General features: G+C 37.6%; 1 protein-coding gene and 1 pseudogene across 2 annotated transcripts in view, besides 1 other annotated feature; both read left to right on the top strand.

The window, feature by feature from the left end:
* Positions 1–20684, top strand: part of SLC44A5 (solute carrier family 44 member 5) — a 521887-nt gene that overhangs the window by 72007 nt on the left and 429196 nt on the right. For both annotated transcript variants that reach the window (XM_017000610.2, XM_017000609.2), the window contains exon 3: positions 9517–9636. The gene's annotated coding sequence lies outside the window, so the exon portion shown is untranslated. The remainder of the gene's footprint in view (positions 1–9516; positions 9637–20684) is intronic.
* On the top strand, positions 9722–10665 carry LOC100421536 (diphosphoinositol pentakisphosphate kinase 2 pseudogene; annotated as a pseudogene).
* Positions 11598–11757: an enhancer, noted in NCBI's record as "active region_1202". NCBI's record gives its function as "activates an Ori minimal core promoter by ATAC-STARR-seq in GM12878 lymphoblastoid cells {active_cell/tissue: GM12878}" and the evidence as "EXISTENCE:reporter gene assay evidence [ECO:0000049][PMID:35858748]".

Genomic DNA, 20684 nt, shown 5'->3' with positions numbered 1-20684 from the left:
ACTCCTGAGATCTCACTGGGAAGCTGATCACTTGTTTCAGGGTTTTCTATCTATTGGGAGTCTGCCTTTCTCTGAAGCTGGCTGTGACCAATTATTATTTTAGAGAGATAGTTAACAACTGCCCGATCACAACCTGATGGTCGCCTGACGTTCCACGTGTGCGTGTGTGTGTGTGGGGCCTCTCCTGCCCTGCTCAGGTCTGCCTATCTACTGTAACAAGGAGGGAAGCAGATAATCAAATAATTTTATAATCAGTAATGTGGCTGGCCAAGAAGAGTTGAGTATTGGATTTTTTTTTTTTTTTTTTTTTTTGAGACAGAGTCTCGCTCTGTCGCCCAGGCTGGAGTGCAATGGCGCGATCTTGACTCACTGCAAGCTCCACCTCCCGGGTTCACGCCATTCTCCTGCCTCAGCCTCCCGAGTAGCTGGGACTACAGACACCCACCACCACGCCCAGCTAATTTTTTGTATTTTTTAGTAGAGAGGAGGTTTCACCGTGTTAGCCAGGATGGTCTCGATCTTCTGACCTCATGATCCACCTGCCTTGGCCTCCCAGAGTGCGAGTATTGTTTTGGAGTAAAAAGTCTTCTACTACACAATGGACTCGTGGGTGAGAAGTAGACCTAGAACAATGTCTGTAGAGACTTCAACTAAATTAGCTGCCTCTGCTGTAGGGTATAAACAAGGCAGATAATTCTTAGCTACAGGGTCAAGAGAAATACTAAGATAAGCAATGTGCTTGTTATGAGTTCCTCGTTTTTGAAGGAGTACCCCTAAACTACAACCATGCTTTTAGGTACACAATTTAGCATAGTTAGGAATACCCAAGTCAGGGCTTATATGTTTAAGAATGGTAAATGACTTCTTGACATTTGGCTCCCAAGGAAAAGGTTCTAGGTCATTCAATTTATTTACTTAGAGCAGTTAAGCCAATTAAATTATGGCAAATATCAAACATTGATTTATTTCAACATTCTTTTTTATAGGGTGATGGAACAAATTTGGGTTTATCAGTGGTCATCTGGGAAGTATCAAAGACAGTCTGGGTATAAAGGACATCTGAGCAGTTTTATTATTTTGAATTTGTGGCCTGAATTCGGTAAAAGCAATATCTAGGCTGGGTGAAGTGCCTCACACCCATAATCTCAACACTTCAGAAGGCTGAAGTGAGAGGACTGCTTGAGCCCAGGAGTTTCAGATCAGTCTCAACAAAACAAAAAAATTAGCTGGGTGTGGTGGCACATGCCTATGGTCCCAGTTACTTAGGAGGCTGAGGTGGGAGAATCGCTTGAGCCCAGATCAAGGCTACAGTGAACTGTGATTGTGTCACTGCACTCCAGCCTGAAGATTTGTCTGAGGAGCTGTCATTCTAATAAGACTTATATATAGGGCATATATGCCTAAAGGCAAGAAATAATTAGACTTGGTTCAGAGCAGAAATTCTAAACATTTTTTATCATGGACCCTGTGGCAGATTGATGAAGTCTACACCATTTCTAACAAAAATATGTTTTAAAGCTTAGATAAATGCATAGAATTTCAAAGAAAACTAATTATATTAAAATATCCTTCTGGAATTTGGCAATTGTTTTATGTGTCATCTTGTGGCATTTTGTGCCTTCCCAAAATAAAGGTTTTCAGTTCTGATGTTATTTACTTTTGCACAAAGTTACTTATAAAATTTGTAGTATTAAGAATAATGACTCATGAACACCATTTGTACAACACGCTGCATGTGCATGTTTTTGCTTAATAATACAGATGATGTTTAGAAAAAGAGAGAAACTGGGAGGCTGGGAAGAGGGCTGAGGGAGGAGAAATTACCTATGGGTACAATGTACGCTAATGGGTGATGGTAAAACTAATAGCCCAGACTTCACCACTATGCATTATATCCATGTAACAAAGCTGTACTCATACTCCCTAAAGTATAAAAATAATAATGAGAGAGAGAGAGAGAATACACAAGGCAATATAAAAGAAAGAATCTCTGCTGCTGAGCTAACACACAAGAGTGGATTGTTATTATAAATCAGGCTTAAACAAGTAAGAGATATTACCCAGTATCAAGACTTATTAAATACTTTCAAGGCTACAGGCAATCCAGAGGTTCAGAAGAAGCAGAGAGATTCTGAGGCATTGAGAGCAGGTCACTAGGTCCTTGCTTTTCAGTACAGGCATACACCTCTGCTCCAGAATAGGTGAGATTCCTAAGTGAGTTTTGTGGGATTTCTCAGGCATAGTGTTTAAACCATGAAGCATCCTATTTTATATCTAAGATATTTTATATCTTAGAGAGTTACATAGCTTATGAGACATTCTTCAAGAAGACATAGATCCTGATTCTATTTACTGAAGACCTTGGCCATGACCATTCTGCTAAAGATTTTTCAGAGATAAATTATCTTTCTTCTAGTGAATATTATTAGTCTATTTAATAGACCTAGAAATACAGTTGACAAAGAGATTAGATCAGGTCTCCTGGTTCTTAAATTTTTCCCAAGGATCCCCATTCCCTTTCCATTTCTTGAAGGAAGTGAATGGAAGGCAGACCAACACTTTTAACACCTTTCTTCTAGCTATTCACAGAACTTCAACACCATACATGACTTGTATCACTGTCCAATCCATTATCTATATTTATTTTAAGTAATAAATAGAAATAACACTTCAGGAGTGACCTCAACTGTTAAATGTATTTAAACTTGTCTGGTCTATTCAAGTAGCCAGTACACCTATTTGTGTTTCAAAAGGCCATGTTGCCTTAGGGATTAAGACAAGATTTCTCATTTGAACTGCCCAGATTTGCAAAATACTAACGGAGAATGAAAATGATGCTTCTCCCTTTGTGTCGTTAATCAACAGTCAATTATAGATAGGGATTTCTGGGTCATCATTGTAAAGACATGCAACATTACCATTTTGCTGCTGAACAACTACTAGGCACAGAGTTAGTTACCCAATAGTTTCCCAGCTACATCACAAGAGCATCTATTGACAAAAAGACTGCAATCACATTTGATATAGCTTGTGATCTAAAAATTATTGTAATTTCAAAATAACATGAATCTAAAATATATTTCAACCTCTGCAACAGCTGTAATATATTATAAAATATCCATAATTCCCATTTGAGACAAAATCATAGGCACTACTAATATTACAGTGGTATTTATTTATTTGTTTGCCCATGCTCATAATGTTAAGTTTTAGTCAGGATGTCAAAAAAATCCTTTTTTTTCCCATCAAAGTTCAGGATTCCCTGAACTGTATCTTCAGATTTCCTAAAACCCCTGGTTTAGAGTGACAGGGATTGGGAGACACTACCCCAAAATAGGGCACCTTGGCATTTGGAAAAAACATCAGAAGCATGAAGGCCACTCTCACCTCTCCCTTCTTTCCTAAAGCAGGCCATACAATCTAGGAAGGTCACTCTCTGACCTTCCCTTCTTCCTCCCCTGAGGACTATCATATGCCAAGTGTCCTGCCCTATACCTGAAGGGAAGGAACATTATACAGAAACACTGAGAAGGGTCTCAGTAAACAGCCTTGCTAAGTTACTTCCAGTTTATTATCATTAGATTATATTCTTTGTATTTTAATCATACTGCATGACTGTTGTATTAGTTCATTCTCATGCTGCTATTAAGAACTGTCCAAAACTGGGTAATTTATAAAGGAAAAAGATTTAATTGACTCACAGTTCTGCATGGCTGTGGAGGCCTTAGGAAACTTTTAAACATCATGGAAGGGGAAACAAACATGTCCTTCTTCACATGGTAACAGAAAAGAGAAGTGCCAAGCAAAGTGGGAAAAAGCCCCTTAAAAAACTATCAGATCTCATAACTCATTCACTATTTAAAGAACAGAATGGAATTGTTCCCATGATCTAATTGCTTCCCATGTGATCCCTTCCCCAACAAATGGGGATTATAATTTGGATTACAATTCAAGATGAGATTTGGGTGGGGAAACAGAGCCAGACCATATCATTCCACTCCTGGCTCATCCCAAATCTTGTCTTTCTCACGTTTCAAAACAAAATTATGCCTTCCAAAAAGTTACCCAAAGACTTAACTCATTTTAGCATTAACCCAAAAGTCCAAGTCCAAAGTATCATCTGAGACAAGGCAAGTCTCTTCCACTTAGGAGCCTGTAAAATCAAAAGCGAGTTAGTTACTTCCAAGGTACAATGGGAGTATGGGCATTGGGTAAATGCTCCCATTCCAAAAGGGAGAAATTGGCCAAAGCAAAGGGGCTATAGGCCTCACACAAGTCTGCAATCCAGTGGGACAGTCAAATCTTAAAGCTCCAAAATGATCTCCTTTGACTCCATGTCTCAAATACAGGTCATGCTGATGCAAGAGGTGGGCTCCCATGGCCTTGAGCAGCTCTGCCTCTGTGGCTTTGCATGGTACAGCCCCCTTCTTGGCTGTTTTCATGGGCTGGTATTAAGTATCTGTGGCTTTTCCAGGTGCACGGTGCAAGCTGTCAGTGGATCTACCATTTTGGGGTCTGGAGGGTGGTGGCCTTCTTCTCACAGCTCCAGTAGTCAGTGCCCCAGTGGGGACTCTATATTGGGGCTCTGACCCCACATTTCCCTTCTGCAGTGCTGTGGCAGAGATTTTCCATGAGGGCTCTGCCCTGCAGCAAACTTCTGCCTGGACATCCAGGCATTTCCATACATCCTCTGAAATTTAGGTGGAGGTTCCCAAACCTCAATTCTTGACTTCTTTGTACCTGCAGGCCCAACACCACATTGCAAGTGGCCAAGGCTTGGGGCTTGAACGTTCTGAAGCAATGGCCTGGGCTATATGTTGGCCCCTTTTAGCCATGGCTGAGATGCAGGGCACCAAGTCCCAAGCCTGCACAAAGCAGCAAAGCCTTGGGCCTGGCCCAAGAAACCATTTTTCTTCGTAGGCCTCCAGGCCTGTGATGGGAGGGATTACTGTGAAGACCTCTGACATGCCCTATAGACATTTTCCCCATTATCTGGGGGATTAACATTGGGCTCCTCATTACTTATGCAAATGTCTGCATCTGGCTTGAATTTCTCATCAGAAAATGGATTTTTCTTTTCTTTTGCATTGTCAGCCTGCAAATTTTCCGAGCTTTTATGCTCTGTCACCTCTTGAACACTTTGCCACTTAGAAATTTCTTCTGCCAGCTACCCTAAATTATCTCTCTCAAGTTCAAAGTTCCACAGATCTCTAGGGCATGGGCAAAATGCAGCCAGTCTCTTTGCTAAAGCATAGAAAGAATGGCCTTTACTTCTTCTTCACATGGTGGCAAGGAAGGAGAAGTGCCAAGCAAAAGGGGAAAAAGCCCCTTATAAAACCATCAGATCTCGTGAGAACTCTCTCACTATCATGAGAAGAGCATGCAGGGACCACCCCCTTGTTCTAATTACCTCCCATGATGTCCCTCCTGCAACATGTGGGGATTACAATTTGGGTTGCAATTCAATATGAGATTTGGGTGGGGACACAGAGCCAGGCCATATCAACTGTCCATAGAAATACACAGGCTTCCCTATTTCTTTGGGCCTTCATTTCTGAAGGTTCTCATGTCACGTTAAGACTTATTGAAATCATGAGTGAACTCCCATTCACAATTGCTTCAAAGAGAATAAAATACCTAGGAATACAACTTACAAAGGATGTGAAGGACCTCTTCAAGGAGAACTACAAACCACTGCTCAATGAAATAAAAGAGGATACAAACAAATGGAAGAACATTCCATGCTCATGGATAGGAAGAATCAATTTCGTGAAAATGGCCATACTGCCCAAGGTAATTTATAGATTCAATGCCATCCCCATCAAGCTACCAACGACTTTCTTCACAGAATTGGAAAAAACTACTTTAAAGTTCATATGGAACCAAAAAAGAGCCCATATTGCCAAGTCAATCCTAAGCCAAAAGAACAAAGCTGGAGGCATCATGCTACCTGACTTCAAACTATACTACAAAGCTACAGTAACCAAAACAGCATGGTACTGGTACCAGAACAGATATATGGACCAATGGAACAGAACGGAGTCCTCAGAAATAATAACACACATCTACAACTATCTGATCTTTGAGAAACCTGACCAAAACAAGAAATGGGGAAAGGGTTCCCTATTTAACAAATGGTGTTGGGAATACTGGCTAGCCATATGCAGAAAGCTGAAACTGGTTCCTTCCTTACACCTTATACAAAAATGAATTCAAGATGGATTAAAGACTTAATTGTTAGAACCTAAAACCATAAAAACACTAGAAGAAAACCTAGGCAATACCATCCATTCAGGACATAGGCATGGGCAAGGACTTCATGTCTAAAACACCAACAGCAATGGCAACAAAAGCCAAAATTGACAAATGGGATCCAATTAAACTAAAGAGCTTCTGCACAGCAAAAGAAACTACCATCAGACTGAACAGGCAACCTACAGAATGGGAGAAAATTTTTGCAATCTACTCATCTGACAAACGGCTAATATCCAGAATCTACAATGAACTCAAACAAATTTACAAGAAAAAAACAAACAACCCCATCAACAAGTGGGCGAAGGATATGAACAGACACTTCTCAAAAGAAGACATTTATGCAGCCAAAAGACACATGAAAAAATGCTCATCATCACTGGCCATCAGAGAAATGCAAATCAAAACCACAATGAGATACCACCTTACACCAGTTAGAATGGCGATCATTAAAAAATCATGAAACAACAGGTGCTGGAGAGGATGTGGAGAAACAGGAACACTTTTACACTGTTGGTGGGACTGTAAACTAGTTCAACCATTGTGGAAGACAGTGTGGCGATTCCTCAGGGATCTAGAACTAGAAATACCATTTGACCCAGCCATCCTATTACTGGGTATATACCCAAAGGATTATAAATCATGATGCTATAAAGACACATGCACACATATGTTTATTGTGGCACTATTCACAATAGCAAAGACTTGGAACCAACCCAAATGTCCAACAATGATACACTGGATTAAGAAAATGTGGCATATATACACCATAGAATACTATGCAGCCATTAAAAAGGATGAGTTCATGTCCTTTGGAGGGACATGGATGAAGCTGGAAACCATCATTCTCAGCAAGGACAAAAAACCAAACACCGCATGTTCTCACTCATAGGTGGGAATTGAACAATAACACTTGGACACAGGAAGGGGAACATCACACACTGGGGCCTGTTGTGGGGTGGGGGGAGGTGGGAGGGATAGCATTAGGAGATATACCTAATGTAAATGATGAGTTAATAGGTGCAGCACACCAACATGGCACATGTATACATATGTAACAAACCTGCACGTTGTGCACATGTACTCTAGAACTTAAAGTATAATTAAAAAAAAATATATATATATAAAGACTTATATTGAATAAATTTGTTAGGCTTTTTTTTGTTGTTAATTTGTATTTTGTTACAGGTGTATCAGCCATGAACCCTGTGATGGGTGAAGAAATAAATCTTTTTTCCACTATAATAGTAAAAATAGTAAAAGCAAGTTAGAATAATTGTTAGAAACATTAGCTTTTTTAGAGGTGAACTTTTGTTAAAAAGTCATTCAATAGTATGACAAAGGCACTGAAACTATACTTATAGGCCAATTGTTTCTCTGAATGATCCCTTGTTTATTATTTATATCTTTTGTTTACTAATTTATTACACCTTTGTATGTATATTTTTAAATATACATAAATGCACATATGGTTAAATGACACATTTAAAACTCTTGACTGTAGCTTCAAAATACACTTGCCTTATTAATACATAAAACAATGCATATGCTAAATTTTTTTTACTATCTTAGTAAAATTTTACCAGTTCCCTTGATAGACAAATGGATAAAACATGTCCATTATCTTGCATATTTATTGCTTTGTAATGAATATATCATTATTTTATTTACATCTTTTAACAAAAGCAACTAACTAGTGAATGGGCACAGTCACAGAACAATTAGGATGTAGATAACTGAGAACTGTCTATCATAGACAAGTGTTTTAGCCCTGAATGAACTCCAGTGAAGATTGTTAATGTTCTGTGAACACGCTTCTATATCTTTTCTATATTTTATGAAGTAGAAAAAATGACCATGTATACTCACATTACTGTTTCAGTCTGTTCTTATGCTGCTAATAAAGACATATCTAAGACTGGGTAATTTATAAAGAAAAGAGGTTTAATGGACTCACAGTCCCACATGGCTGAGGAGGCCTCACAATCATGATGGAAGGCTAAGGAAAAGCAAAACCATGTCTTACTTGGCCGCAGGCCAGGGAGCACATGCAGGGGAACTGCCTTTTTATAAAACAATGGGATCTTGTGAGACTTATTTACTATCCTGAGAACAGCATGGGAAAAACCTGCCCCCATGATTCAATTACCTCTCACTGGGCCCCTCCTATGACACATGGTGATTATGGGAGCTATAATTCAAGATGAGATTTCAGTGGGGACACAGCCAAACCAATGACCTAAAGGTATTTACACATCTTTTTTCTATCATGTTAACTAATGGACAATCTAGAATGTAAATGAATAAGATATATACATATAATTAAACGATATTTGCTTGTTTTTATATTCTATATTTATGAATTTAGTTCTACTTAGAAAATATCCAGATAACCAAAGACTACTTTAATGAAATTAATTAGTTTAACAATAGTCTGGGGTCTTGAAGTCAGCCAGAGATTTTGGAAATTGTTTGAGGTTGACATTAAAGAGAAACACAATCCTTTTTGATCTTAAAACAGTTCATCAGACAAATATGATATTTAAAATTTGATATAGGTAGTATAAGTAAAGTTACTAGATCTATATGATTTATGGTATTATCTGAAGCTCACAAGAGCAAATCTTTCCAAAGATGGTTGAATGATAATTTTATAATTTTTAACAGTTAATGGAAGTAAAAATCAGTATAGGAAATCTAGCAAATCAGAATTAATTAAGTTTCTCATGAGAAAATAATATGCCAACATTTTTCACACTGTGATGAAATCAGGGGAAGACATGTAGCTATTTTTAAAGCCAAATTACCAAACCAATTTAATTTGTCCAGTGATTCGCCTTGATAGAAATATAACCTAAACTTATTTGTTTACAATTTTTTCTGTATTTACCAAATATTAAAACTTTCCAATTTTTGTTTAAAAGTACTGTTCTCTTAGAATTCTCCCCTACCCCCACTGTTTTCCAAACTGATAACTACTTATATTTTTCTGCCTCTTGAGACTTTGCAACCAAGGCCATTAATTTAATTTATAGTAAGCTCCTCCTCCTCCTCCTCATACTTCTCCTTCTTGTTTTATTGAGTTATGGCTTCAGCAAGCCTCTCAAGCTTTTATAAATGGTCAGCACACTTAAAACATTAGGATATAAATTTTTCTCTCTTCTTCCTGAAGATTATTGAATTTCTTATTCGTCTCTATAAGTCAATCAGAATAGGAATTCGTTTAACCATGAGACTTTATAATTAAATTACATTTTTTTTCAGACATAGACACAAATCTTGACGAACACTTCAGCCCTGCCTCCAGAATGAAAGGGGGAAACCTAGACCTGAATGGGCTTGACCATCTCACAGCTGCTCACGTGATGACCATATTCGTGGCAGGTAAAAAGATTGCTGTATCAACTCAAGAAAGCAGTAGCCTCACTGTCTTTGTATTTTGAATTGCAACAACAACTTTGATATCAACAATGAAGCAATGGTATCTAAGAACAAAAGAGCATTTGCCAAAAGTCATCATAATATCAAGTGATTGTATAAGCAGAAACAAGCTGTCACAGACCTGTGTGTCAGCTAACATAAGGAGAATGCTTTCTTCTGATGCTATTTATTTACAGGCAGTTTTAATATATATCACTTCAATTATATCTACATCAAATAAAATAAAAAATTAGTGAAGCCCCCAGATTCTTCATTGGACCAGAAGACACAGAAATAAATCCTGGAAATTATCAACATTTCTTCCACCATGCAGATGAAGATGATGAGGAGGAAGATGATTCTCCACCAGAAAGGCAGATTGTGGTTGGAATATGTTCCATGGCAAAGAAATCCAAATCCAAACCAATGAAGGAAATTCTTGAATGGGTCTCCTTATTTAAATATATCACAGTAGTGGTATTTGAAGAGGAGGTTATTTTGAGGGAACCAGTGGAAAACTGGCCTTTATGTGATTGTCTTTTTTCTTTGCACTCTAAAGGATTTCCACTGGACAAAGTGGTTGCCTATGCAAAACTCAGGAATCCATTTGTAATCAATGACTTGAATATGCAGTATCTCATACAAGATTGGAGAGAGGTATATAGTATTCTTCAAGCTGAAGTTATTTTACTTCCTTGTTATGCAATTTTGAACCGTGACCCAAATAATCCCAAAGAATGTAATCTGATTGAAGGGGAAGATCATGTAGAAGTAAATGAGGAAGTTTTTCAAAAGCCATTTGTAGAAAAGCCAGTCAGTGCAGAAGATCACAATGTTTACATTTATTACCCAACTTCTGCTGGCAGTGGAAGTCAAAGACTCTTTAGAAAGATTGGCAGTAGAAGTAGTGCTTATTCTCCACAAAGCAATGTACAAAAATCAAGCTCATATACACATGAAGAGTTTATGCCCGGAGACGATACTAATGTTAAGAGATTCCTCATGTTTTGCACCACCAACATCTTTGGCAGTCTGAAGCCTATGGACTCTTTCTTAACAAAAGTGTTCTTAAATGCTTTAAACATGTAAGATTATGATGGAGACAAATTTTATTCAAATATAATAAAATATTTAAAAATAAAAAAGTAATAGACACAAATATGCCATTTGTTTAGAAAATGTTTCATACTCAGCAGAAGTATCTTGTCATATCTCTGGGCAAGGAAAGAACTCTGGGAGAGTCTAAAGTTGCCTTTCTTTGTATTTTATTATGTCCTTTTTGGGGAAGACTTGTTCAGACATGATCAACTTATGGGTTCTACTGTAAGATTTTATAATATTTTGTCATAGTTCACATGAAGTTCTTCCTCACATCTTCACTTGGCTCATTTGTGACTATTTCCGTGGGACTTTTTTATTTATTAATATTTTCCAAGAGGAAAGAATAAAAAATTCATGTACTCTGAATCCTTTAGTTTCCTCAGAAGGCCATGAAGCCCCAGACAAGCCAGAAGCAATTATTCCCATTTTAAGGACATTCGAGCCTGCATACAATTGTAATACAAACCAAGCAAAGCTCTTTCAGAAGGCACAACTCTACTTCATGATCCATGAAAAACTGGTTTTAATATTTGCATGCATCTTCTTCCTATGAAGGTCTGTTTGAACTGGATATTTCTATAGCATGCACAAATGATAGATTGTTATGATCAATTAATATTCAAAATTTCCCCCAGAGAGAGAGAGAGAATGAGAGGTAGAATCACTCACAGGTACAGAAAGAACTACCATTATAAACAGACTATTATAAAGACAAGCTTCCTTCTGTGATGGTTTCCCAATGAATCACACTTCTCTGTCTCCATATGCTTGTGTAGTCCCTGTCACATTTACTCTGGGCTTGACCATTGACTTGCTCCAGCCAACAAGATATCAGCAGATATACAGCAAGCAAAGGCTTGATAAGCATGTGTGCACTGGGGCTTGCTCTCTTGGAGCACTTCTGCCACCATGTGAAGAAGCCAGGATGAAAGACCTCATAGAGAGAGACCCAGCTGGCTTAGCTGGTCCAACCATCCAAGCTGAGACTGTAGACATGTAAGAGAAGTTGTATGATATCATCCAGCCCCAGCTGAATACAGGGATGACTACAAACACATGAGTTAGGCTTGGCAAGATCAGCAGAAGAAACTCAACAAAAATTTGGCGAAACTGTTGCTGTTTCAAGGCACTGTGTTTTGGGGTGGTTTGCCACACAGTAACAAGTAACTTACATATCTTTATTTTCTAAGGAAAGTAAAAGGCCTTTTCCCCCTTTCAGTACAACGACCTAAAAATAACTGACCAAAGCAATTATAGATCATAAGACAAACAACATGAAGTTTCTTTCAATGGTTGGAAAAGTTAACAAATCAAGCAGATGTGACAAGGGCAATTCCTCAACCCCAAGGCTGAGGCCAGCCAAATCTGACTACCCCCTTATCTCATCATCTGGTTAAGAGATATCAGGAGATATCAGAATTTCTATGACAGTCAGACAAACAACTAAACAAAGATAAAGGGCCAAGCAGATTCCCAGTTACCTGTAACTTGTCAGAGACCATAGAAAACAATTTCCCAACATTAATTCAACTGCAACTGTGAACAAAAACACACATGGCTAAGAGCCAGGTTTAGCATGTAAAAGCCCATGAGTTTGATCCCTGTATAATGGCATGCACTGGGGAAGTGAGCAAAGGCAAGACAGAACACGGTGGGTCTGGATGAAAAACTTTCTTAGGCTGCATGCTTCTAAGGGCTCAGAGGCTTATCGGAATAACAGTCAAAGAATAATTTAGAGGTATTTAGTTTGGCTAGAAACTGAGCTGAGTTTACTTAGATTTGAGAGAGGTAGTATTTTCCCTGTATCAAGCATAGGTTGATTATCATGGAACAAAAGTAAAGAAGGCTTTATTAAAACATGAACTATAGACTGGTAGAACAATAATTTTGTTTTGTTTTGTTTTAAATTGACAGATAAAATTACATGTGTTTATCACAGTATGTTTTGATGTATACATACATTGTGGATTCACCTAATCTAGCTGATTAACGTATGCATTACCTCACATAGTTATCATTTTGTGGTGAGAACACTTAACATCCACTATCTTAGCATTTTTCAAGAATACAGTATATTGTTATTAACTATAACCATGTTGTATGATAGATCTCTTGAAGTTATTCCTCTCATCTAACTGAAATTGCATATCCTTTGACCAACATCTTTCCAACTCTCTTCCCCCCATCCACCTCAGCCCGTGGAAATCACTCATCTACTCTCCAGTTACATGAATCAACTTGTTTAGATTCCACATACGTGTGAGATTATGTGATAATTGTGCTCCTGTGCCTGGCTTATTTCACTTAACACAGTGTCCTCCAGGTTCATTCATATTGTTGCAATTGGCAGAAGATATCTACATTCTGATGTTTATTGCAGCACTATTCACAACAGCCAAGATATTGGAATGAATCTAAGTGTCGAAAATGAAGGAATGGATAAAGAAAATGTGGTAAATATACATAGTGGAAAGCTATGTATAGTCATAAAAATAATGAATTTTGTTTTTTGTCCATGGGCAAGTTGATTGGCTGAAAACTACAAAGAAAGAAGGACCGTTTTCCTTGGAGCAGGCTGACAAGATTTATCAGAGAAAGCAAATTTAATTATTAATGGGTTGCTTGAGAAACTTTATGATTTCAGCTGTGGAGTATATTCAATTGCTGTCTCTGTGTAACACAGCCTGGGCTCTTTCGTTGGCTTTCCTACCTTAGTTAAACCTAGACTGCACCACTTTCCTCACTATAAATCCTCATGGGACAGTGTTGAACTTTTCCTGATTCCTTGCAGGTTTTATTTCATTTTGTTTTGATATTAAGATCCTACAACTTTAATACATATTAACACTGTGTTTGTTATTATAAGAATAAATACATTTCAGGTTATAAAATAGCTATTAAAACTAGATTCTACTTACTATGTTAAATCATACAAATGCTTCTATGTTTCACTTGTGTGATTTTGGAGCAGTGATGGCCATCAGAGTCACTATACTTGAAACATGAAACTTGCTTTAATCGTACTATTAGCTTCTAATATTATAATAAGACAATAAATGATGTCATATTATTTAAGTCTTTTTATTTTGTATCATATTTACTGCATAGAGATGTCATGAGGATTAAAAGAGTTAATACAACAATTGCCATGTAAATGTTAGCTATTATTACACAATTATAATAAATATTTTAAGAAGGAAGGTCAAGAGAATATACAATAATTTGGCAAAACTATGTCAACTGCATAGGCGGATTTATATCAGTGAGGTACTAGGTAATAGAGGGAAAGAAATTCACTATACTTTTGAATTAAAATTTCAAGCACTATTTTAATATCTTTTTGGAAGAGGCTAATTTAAGGGGATCTCATGGATAGTCCTTTTAAAGGCATGTCTGTGTATAGTGGGTATTCCCATGTTTCAATTCTTATAAATTTTCCCAATAAAATATTTTTTAATTTGTCTTCTCCACTCCCCCAGTTTGACCCGGAATTGATAAACTTTAAATACAATGAAGATATGTTTATCAGAAAAATATTTTACTCTGCTTAATTTCTTAATGTAATAAAATATATATCACCAAAAATATTGTCATTTTAAACATTTTTCAGTTGCAATTCAGTGTCATTAACTAAATTCACAGTGTTGTACAACCATACCATTATTTCCAAACACTCTTCATCACCCAGACAGAAACTCTGTACCCATTAAGCAATAACTCTCCATTCCTCACTTCCACTAGCCCCTGGTAACCTCTACGCTACTTCTTCTCTCTATGACTTTGACTATTCTAGATACTTAATGTAAGTGCAATTTTTGTCCTTTTGGGTCTGGCTTATTTCACTTAGTATAATGTTTTTTGAGGTTCATCAGTGTTGTGGCATGTATCAGGATCATTTCTTTTTATGGCTGAATTATATCCCATAGCATGTATAGACCACATTTTGCTTATCCACTCATATATTGATGGATGTTTGGGTTGTTTCCACCTTTTGGCTACTGTGAATAGTGCTGCAATGAACATTTTTGTGCAAGTATTGGTGTGAGTTTTTGTTTTTAATTATTTTGAATATATACTGAGGAATGGAGTTGCTGGCTCCTATGAACTGTTTCAGTTTCTAAATCTAAATTAGTTAAAATTATGTTAAATTAAAAATTCAGTCCCTTAGTTATGCTAGCCATATTTCGAGAACTCTTTAGTCACATACAGCTAATGATTACCATATTGGTCAGTGCAGGTCTGGATTAATAATTTGATGAATATCTTTATAATAAATCTACTAATTGTGCCCATTTTCTCTACTGCTCAAATAAGCCTTGTTCTTCCTGCTTTTGTGCTTTGGTTTACCTTTCCTGAGGTCATACTTCTTTTTGCCTGGGATATCTACCTATTCTCTATTTTCTTTTATAGAAATGTTATCTGTTTCAGAAAGTATTCTTTATTACTGCAGCTCACACTGATCATTCCTACTCATAAACTGTCAAAGCATTTGTTAACTTTATTATTTCCATGACATTTACTTGCATTATACTGTAGTTATTTATTTCTTTGTTTCTTATCTGGATTAAAATTCCTTATTGGCAAAGCTAATAATAAAAACAAGAACTACATCAGCAAAACAAAACTAGTCATTTATTAAATGATTGCAGTTCCTCAGGCACAGTGTTGTTTTATACACTCCATTTCATTTACTTCTTAAAACAGAAAGGAAGTAGTATTATCTGAATTCTAAATCAGGATTTTGGGTTTACAGGCTAAGTATCATGTTTAAATCCCTATATCTAGCAAATGGTAGAGTCAGAATTCAAACTCAGGTATGTCAGATGCTCTTACAAGTCTGCTTATACTTTATAAATATTACTTTGGGAAATCTTTATAAATAATATTATCTAACATTTACTTATTGTTTACTCTGTGCCAGATCTTATTGTAAGTGCTTTTCTTGTATATAATATCTTAATTCTTATAACAGTCTTAGGAAGTGTGAGCTGTAATCACCATCATTTTATATATATGATAACAGTTCAGAAAAGTTAAGTTTCACAAGCCAGACACAAAAAGCCTAACATCGCATGTTCTCACTCATACGTGGAAGCTAAAAAATGTGTAAACATGGATGTAGAGAGTGAAATGATAGGCAAAGGAGACTCCGAGGGGTGAATGGGTGGGTGTGGCAGGGGTGCATGATGAGGAATTACTTAATGGGGAAAATGTATGTTATTCAGGTGATGGATACCCTGAAGCCTTGACGTTACAATTACACGATCTATGAATGTAACAAATTTACACTTGTACCCCATAAATTTAAACAAGTTAAAAATAAATACATAAATAATCCCTCCCCAAAGTTAAGTTTCATACCTATTAAATGGCAGAGTCAAGATTTGGACTGAGTGTAAATCAGAGCTTGCATTTTTTTTTTATTATTATTATACTTTAAGTTTTAGGGTACATGTGCACAATGTGCAGGTTAGTTACATATGTATACATGTGCCATGCTGGTGTGATGCACCCATTAACTCGTCATTTAGCATTAGGTGTATCTCCTAATGCTATTCCTCCCCCCCTCCCCCCACCCCACAACAGTCCCCAGAGTGTGATGTTCCCCTTCCTGTGTCCATGTGTTCTCATTGTTCAATTCCCACCTATGAGTGAGAACATGCGGTGTTTGGTTATTTGTCCTTGCAATAGTTTACTGAGAATGATTTCCAATTTCATCCATGTCCCTACAAAGGACATGAACTCATCATTTTTTATGGCTGCATAGTATTCCATGGTGTATATGTGCCACATTTTCTTAATCCAGTCTATCATTGTTGGACATTTGGGTTGATTTCAAGTCTTTGCTATTGTGAATAGTGCCACAATAAACATACGTGTGCATGTGTCTTTATAGCATCATGATTTATAGTCCTTTGGGTATATACCCAGTAATGGGATGGCTGGGTCAAATGGTATTTCTAGTTCTAGATCCCCGAGGAATCGCCACACTGACTTCCACAATGGTTGAACTAGTTTACAGTCCCACCAACAGTGTAAAAGTGTTCCTATTTCTCCACATCCTCTCCAGCACCTGTTGTTTCCTGACTTTTTAATGATTGCCATTCTAACTAGTGTGAGATGGTATCTCATTGTGGTTTTGATTTGCATTTCTCTGATGGCCAGTGATGGTGAGCATTTTTTCATGTGTCTGTTGGCTGCATAAATGTCTTCTTTTGAGAAATGTCTGTTCATATCCTTCGCCCACTTTTTGATGGGGTTGTTTGTTTTTTTCTTGTAAATGTGTTTGAGTTCATTGTAGATTCTAGATATTAGCCCTTTGTCAGATGAGTAAGTTGCGAAAATTTTCTCCCACTTTGTAGGTTGCCTGTTCACTCTGATGGTAGTTTCTTTTGCTGTGCAGAAGCTCTTTAATTAGATCCCATTTATCAATTTTGTCTTTTGTTGCCATTGCTTTTGGTGTTTTAGACATGAAGTCCTTGCCCATGCCTATGTCCTGAATGGTAATGCCTAGGTTTTCTTCTAGGGTTTTTATGGTTTTAGGTCTAACATTTAAGTCTTTAATCCATCTTGAATTCATTTTTGTATAAGGTGTAAGGAAGGGATCCAGTTTCAGCTTTCTACATATGTCTAGCCAGTTTTCCCAGCACCATTTATTAAATAGGGAATCCTTTCCCCATTGCTTGTTTTTCTCAGGTTTGTCAAAGATCAGATAGTTGTAGATATGCGGCGTTATTTCTGAGGGCTCTGTTCTGTTCCATTGATCTATATCTCTGTTTTGGTACCAGTACCATGCTGTTTTGGTTACTGTAGCCTTGTAGTATAGTTTGAAGTCAGGTAGCGTGATGCCTCCAGCTTAATAGCTTACCAACCAAAAAGAGTCCAGGACCAGTTGGATTCACAGCCGAATTCTACCAGAGGTACAAGGAGGAACTGGTACCATTCCTTCTGAAACTATTCCAATCAATAGAAAAAGAGGGAATCCTCCCTAACTCATTTGAGGAGGCCAGCATCATCCTGATACCAAAGCCGGGCAGAGACACAACCAAAAAAGAGAATTTTAGACCAATATCCTTGATGAACATTGATGCAAAAATACTCCATAAAATACTGGCAAAGCGAATCCAGCAGCACATCAAAAAGCTTATCCACCATGATCAACTGGGCTTCATCCCTGGGATGCAAGGCTGGTTCAATATACGCAAATCAATAAATGTAATCCAGCATATAAACAGAACCAAAGACAAAAACCACATGATTATCTCAATAGATGCAGAAAAGGCCTTTGACAAAATTCAACAATGCTTCATGCTAAGAACTCTCAATAAATTAGGTATTGATGGGACATATCTCAAAATAATAAGAGCTATCTGTGACAAACCCACAGCCAATATCATACTGAATGGGCAAAGACTGGAAGCATTCCCTTTGAAAACTGGCACAAGACAGGGATGCCCTCTCTCACCACTCCTATTCAACATAGTGTTGGAAGTTCTGGCCAGGGCAATTAGGCAGGAGAAGGAAATAAAGGGTATTCAATTAGGAAAAGAGGAAGTCAAATTGTCCCTGTTTGCAGATGACATGATTGTATATCTAGAAAACCCCATTGTCTCAGCCCAAAATCTCCTTAAGCTGATAGGCAACTTCAGCAAAGTCTCAGGATACAAAATCAATGTGCAAAAATCACAAGCATTCTTATACACCAATAACAGACATACAGAGAGCCAAATCATGAGTAAACTCCCATTCGCAATTGCTTCAAAGAGAATAAAATACCTAGGAATCCACTTTACAAGGGACATGAAGGACCTCTTCAAGGAGAACTACAAACCACTGCTCAATGAAATAAAAGAGGATACAAAGAAATGGAAGAACATTCCATGCTCATGGGTAGGAAGAATCAATGTCGTGAAAATGGCCATACTGCCCAAGGTAATTTATAGATGCAATGCCATCCCCATCAAGCTACGAATGCCTTTCTTCACAGAATTGGAAAAAACTACTTTAAAGTTCATATGGAACCAAAAAAGAGCCCGCATCGCCAAGCCAATCCTAAGCCAAAAGAACAAAGAGCTTGCATTTTAAGTAATCATATTATTTATAAACTTTATTCAACAAACATTTGTTGAGTAATTACTATGTCCCAGACACCATGCTGAATACTAGGGATTTAAAGATGAATAGATCAGAGTGTGTGTATAGCTTTTCCAGTTTAGCCTGCTAAAATGAACAAACAAGAAATATTTGTCATTGGTATAAAAGTTATTAATCACAACTACTACCAGCACCACCAAATAATAATGAGGGCTTGCTGTTTTCGGGAACTGTTTTAAGTGTTTTGCAGACACTAATTGATTTAGCCTCACAGCAACTTTTAAAGATCACCATTATTATTGTTGTTTTTATTTTTTAGATCAGAAACTGATCAGCAGAGATGTTAGGTAACTTGTCTGAGCCAGAAGCAGAAGGACTAACTTATGAACATAAGCAATTTGGCTCTAGAACTCAAGTGCTCAAATATTCCCTGTGGGTAATAGAGTCTTAGTTTTTCTGGAGCGTGAACAAGTGCCATTATATAGAACACATTTAAACCTGACTCTTGAAAAACAATTTCAGGAGCATGGAAAAACAGGAATGATAGTCATTCTGCAATGAGATTTTAAAAGGTGCAGTTTCTAGAATGGTCAGCAGAGGGTGAAGGGAGGCAGCATTTGTAAGATGCCACTTCATTACAATGGAGTAAACTGTGTGGAACTGATCATCTCTAAAGTTCTCTCTTGCTCTAACATTTCAGGATGATCCTTGTTTGAATTATTTTTAGTTTAATGTTACACAACACAAGCAAAAAAAAAAAGAAGTAGCTCCTTCTGAAATACATATAGCTGAGATGATTTTTTTATCTGAGTTAGCACAGCATTTGTTTCAATATTTATTGAATATTTTATAAGAATGTCTCTAAAGAAGTAAGTATAAGATGATCCATAAAGAGCTCAAGTCTGTACTGAAGAGGCAAGGTAAAGAAAAATTTACATGATGACATAAGCATCATATGAACAAAGTTTCAGAGTTCAGAGACACGGAGAAAATAATGGGGCTGAAATAGAAGGGAATTCTTCATGGAAAAGGTAGCCTTATCCAGGACTGAAGGGTGGGTAATATGTGCACAGGAAGGGAAAAGTTGGCTTCTCCTTAAAATTAAATTTCCCAAGTGCTTATGATTTGTCGTCAGTGACTCCAGGCACTGCAGAGAAAATAAGGATGAGTGATACTGTCCAGGCAGGGTGGCTCATCCATGTAATCCAGCACTTTGGGAGGCCAAGGCTGGCAGATTGTTTGAGCTCAGGAGCTTGAGGCCAGCCTGGGCAACATGGCAAAAACTCTACAAAAAATACAAAAATTGGCTGGGCGCAGTGGCTCATGTCTGTAATCCCAGCGCTTTGGGGGGCCAAGGCAGGTGGATCACCTGAGGTCAGGAGTTCAAGACTGGCCTGGCCAACATGGTGAAACGCCGTCTCTACTAAAAATACAAAAATTAGCTGGGCGCAGTGGAGTGTGCCTGTAATCCCAGCTACTCGGGAGGCTGAGGCAGGAGAATCGGGAGGCAGAGTTTACAGTGAGCTGAGATTGCGACATTGCACTCCAGCCTGGGTGACAGAGCAAAACTCTGTCTCAAAAAAAAAAAAAAAAAAAAAAAAATTAGCCAGGTGTGGTTGTGCATGCCTATAGTCCCAGCTACTTGGGAGACAGAAGTGAGAGGATGGCTTGAGCCCAGGAGGTGGAGGTTGCAGTGAGATGAGATTAGGCTGCTGCACTCCAGTCTAAGTGACAGAGTGAGACCCTGTCTCCAAAAAAAGGAGTGATATTGTCTCTGTCTTAGGGAAGTCACAGATACCCTAGCAGTAATAATACAA

This window comes from Homo sapiens, chromosome 1 (genome assembly GCF_000001405.40).
Source record: "Homo sapiens chromosome 1, GRCh38.p14 Primary Assembly".
NCBI classification, from domain to species: domain Eukaryota; kingdom Metazoa; phylum Chordata; class Mammalia; order Primates; family Hominidae; genus Homo; species Homo sapiens.
Note: the sequence above shows the minus strand (reverse complement) of the source record. Positions and strands in the feature narration are given on the sequence as shown.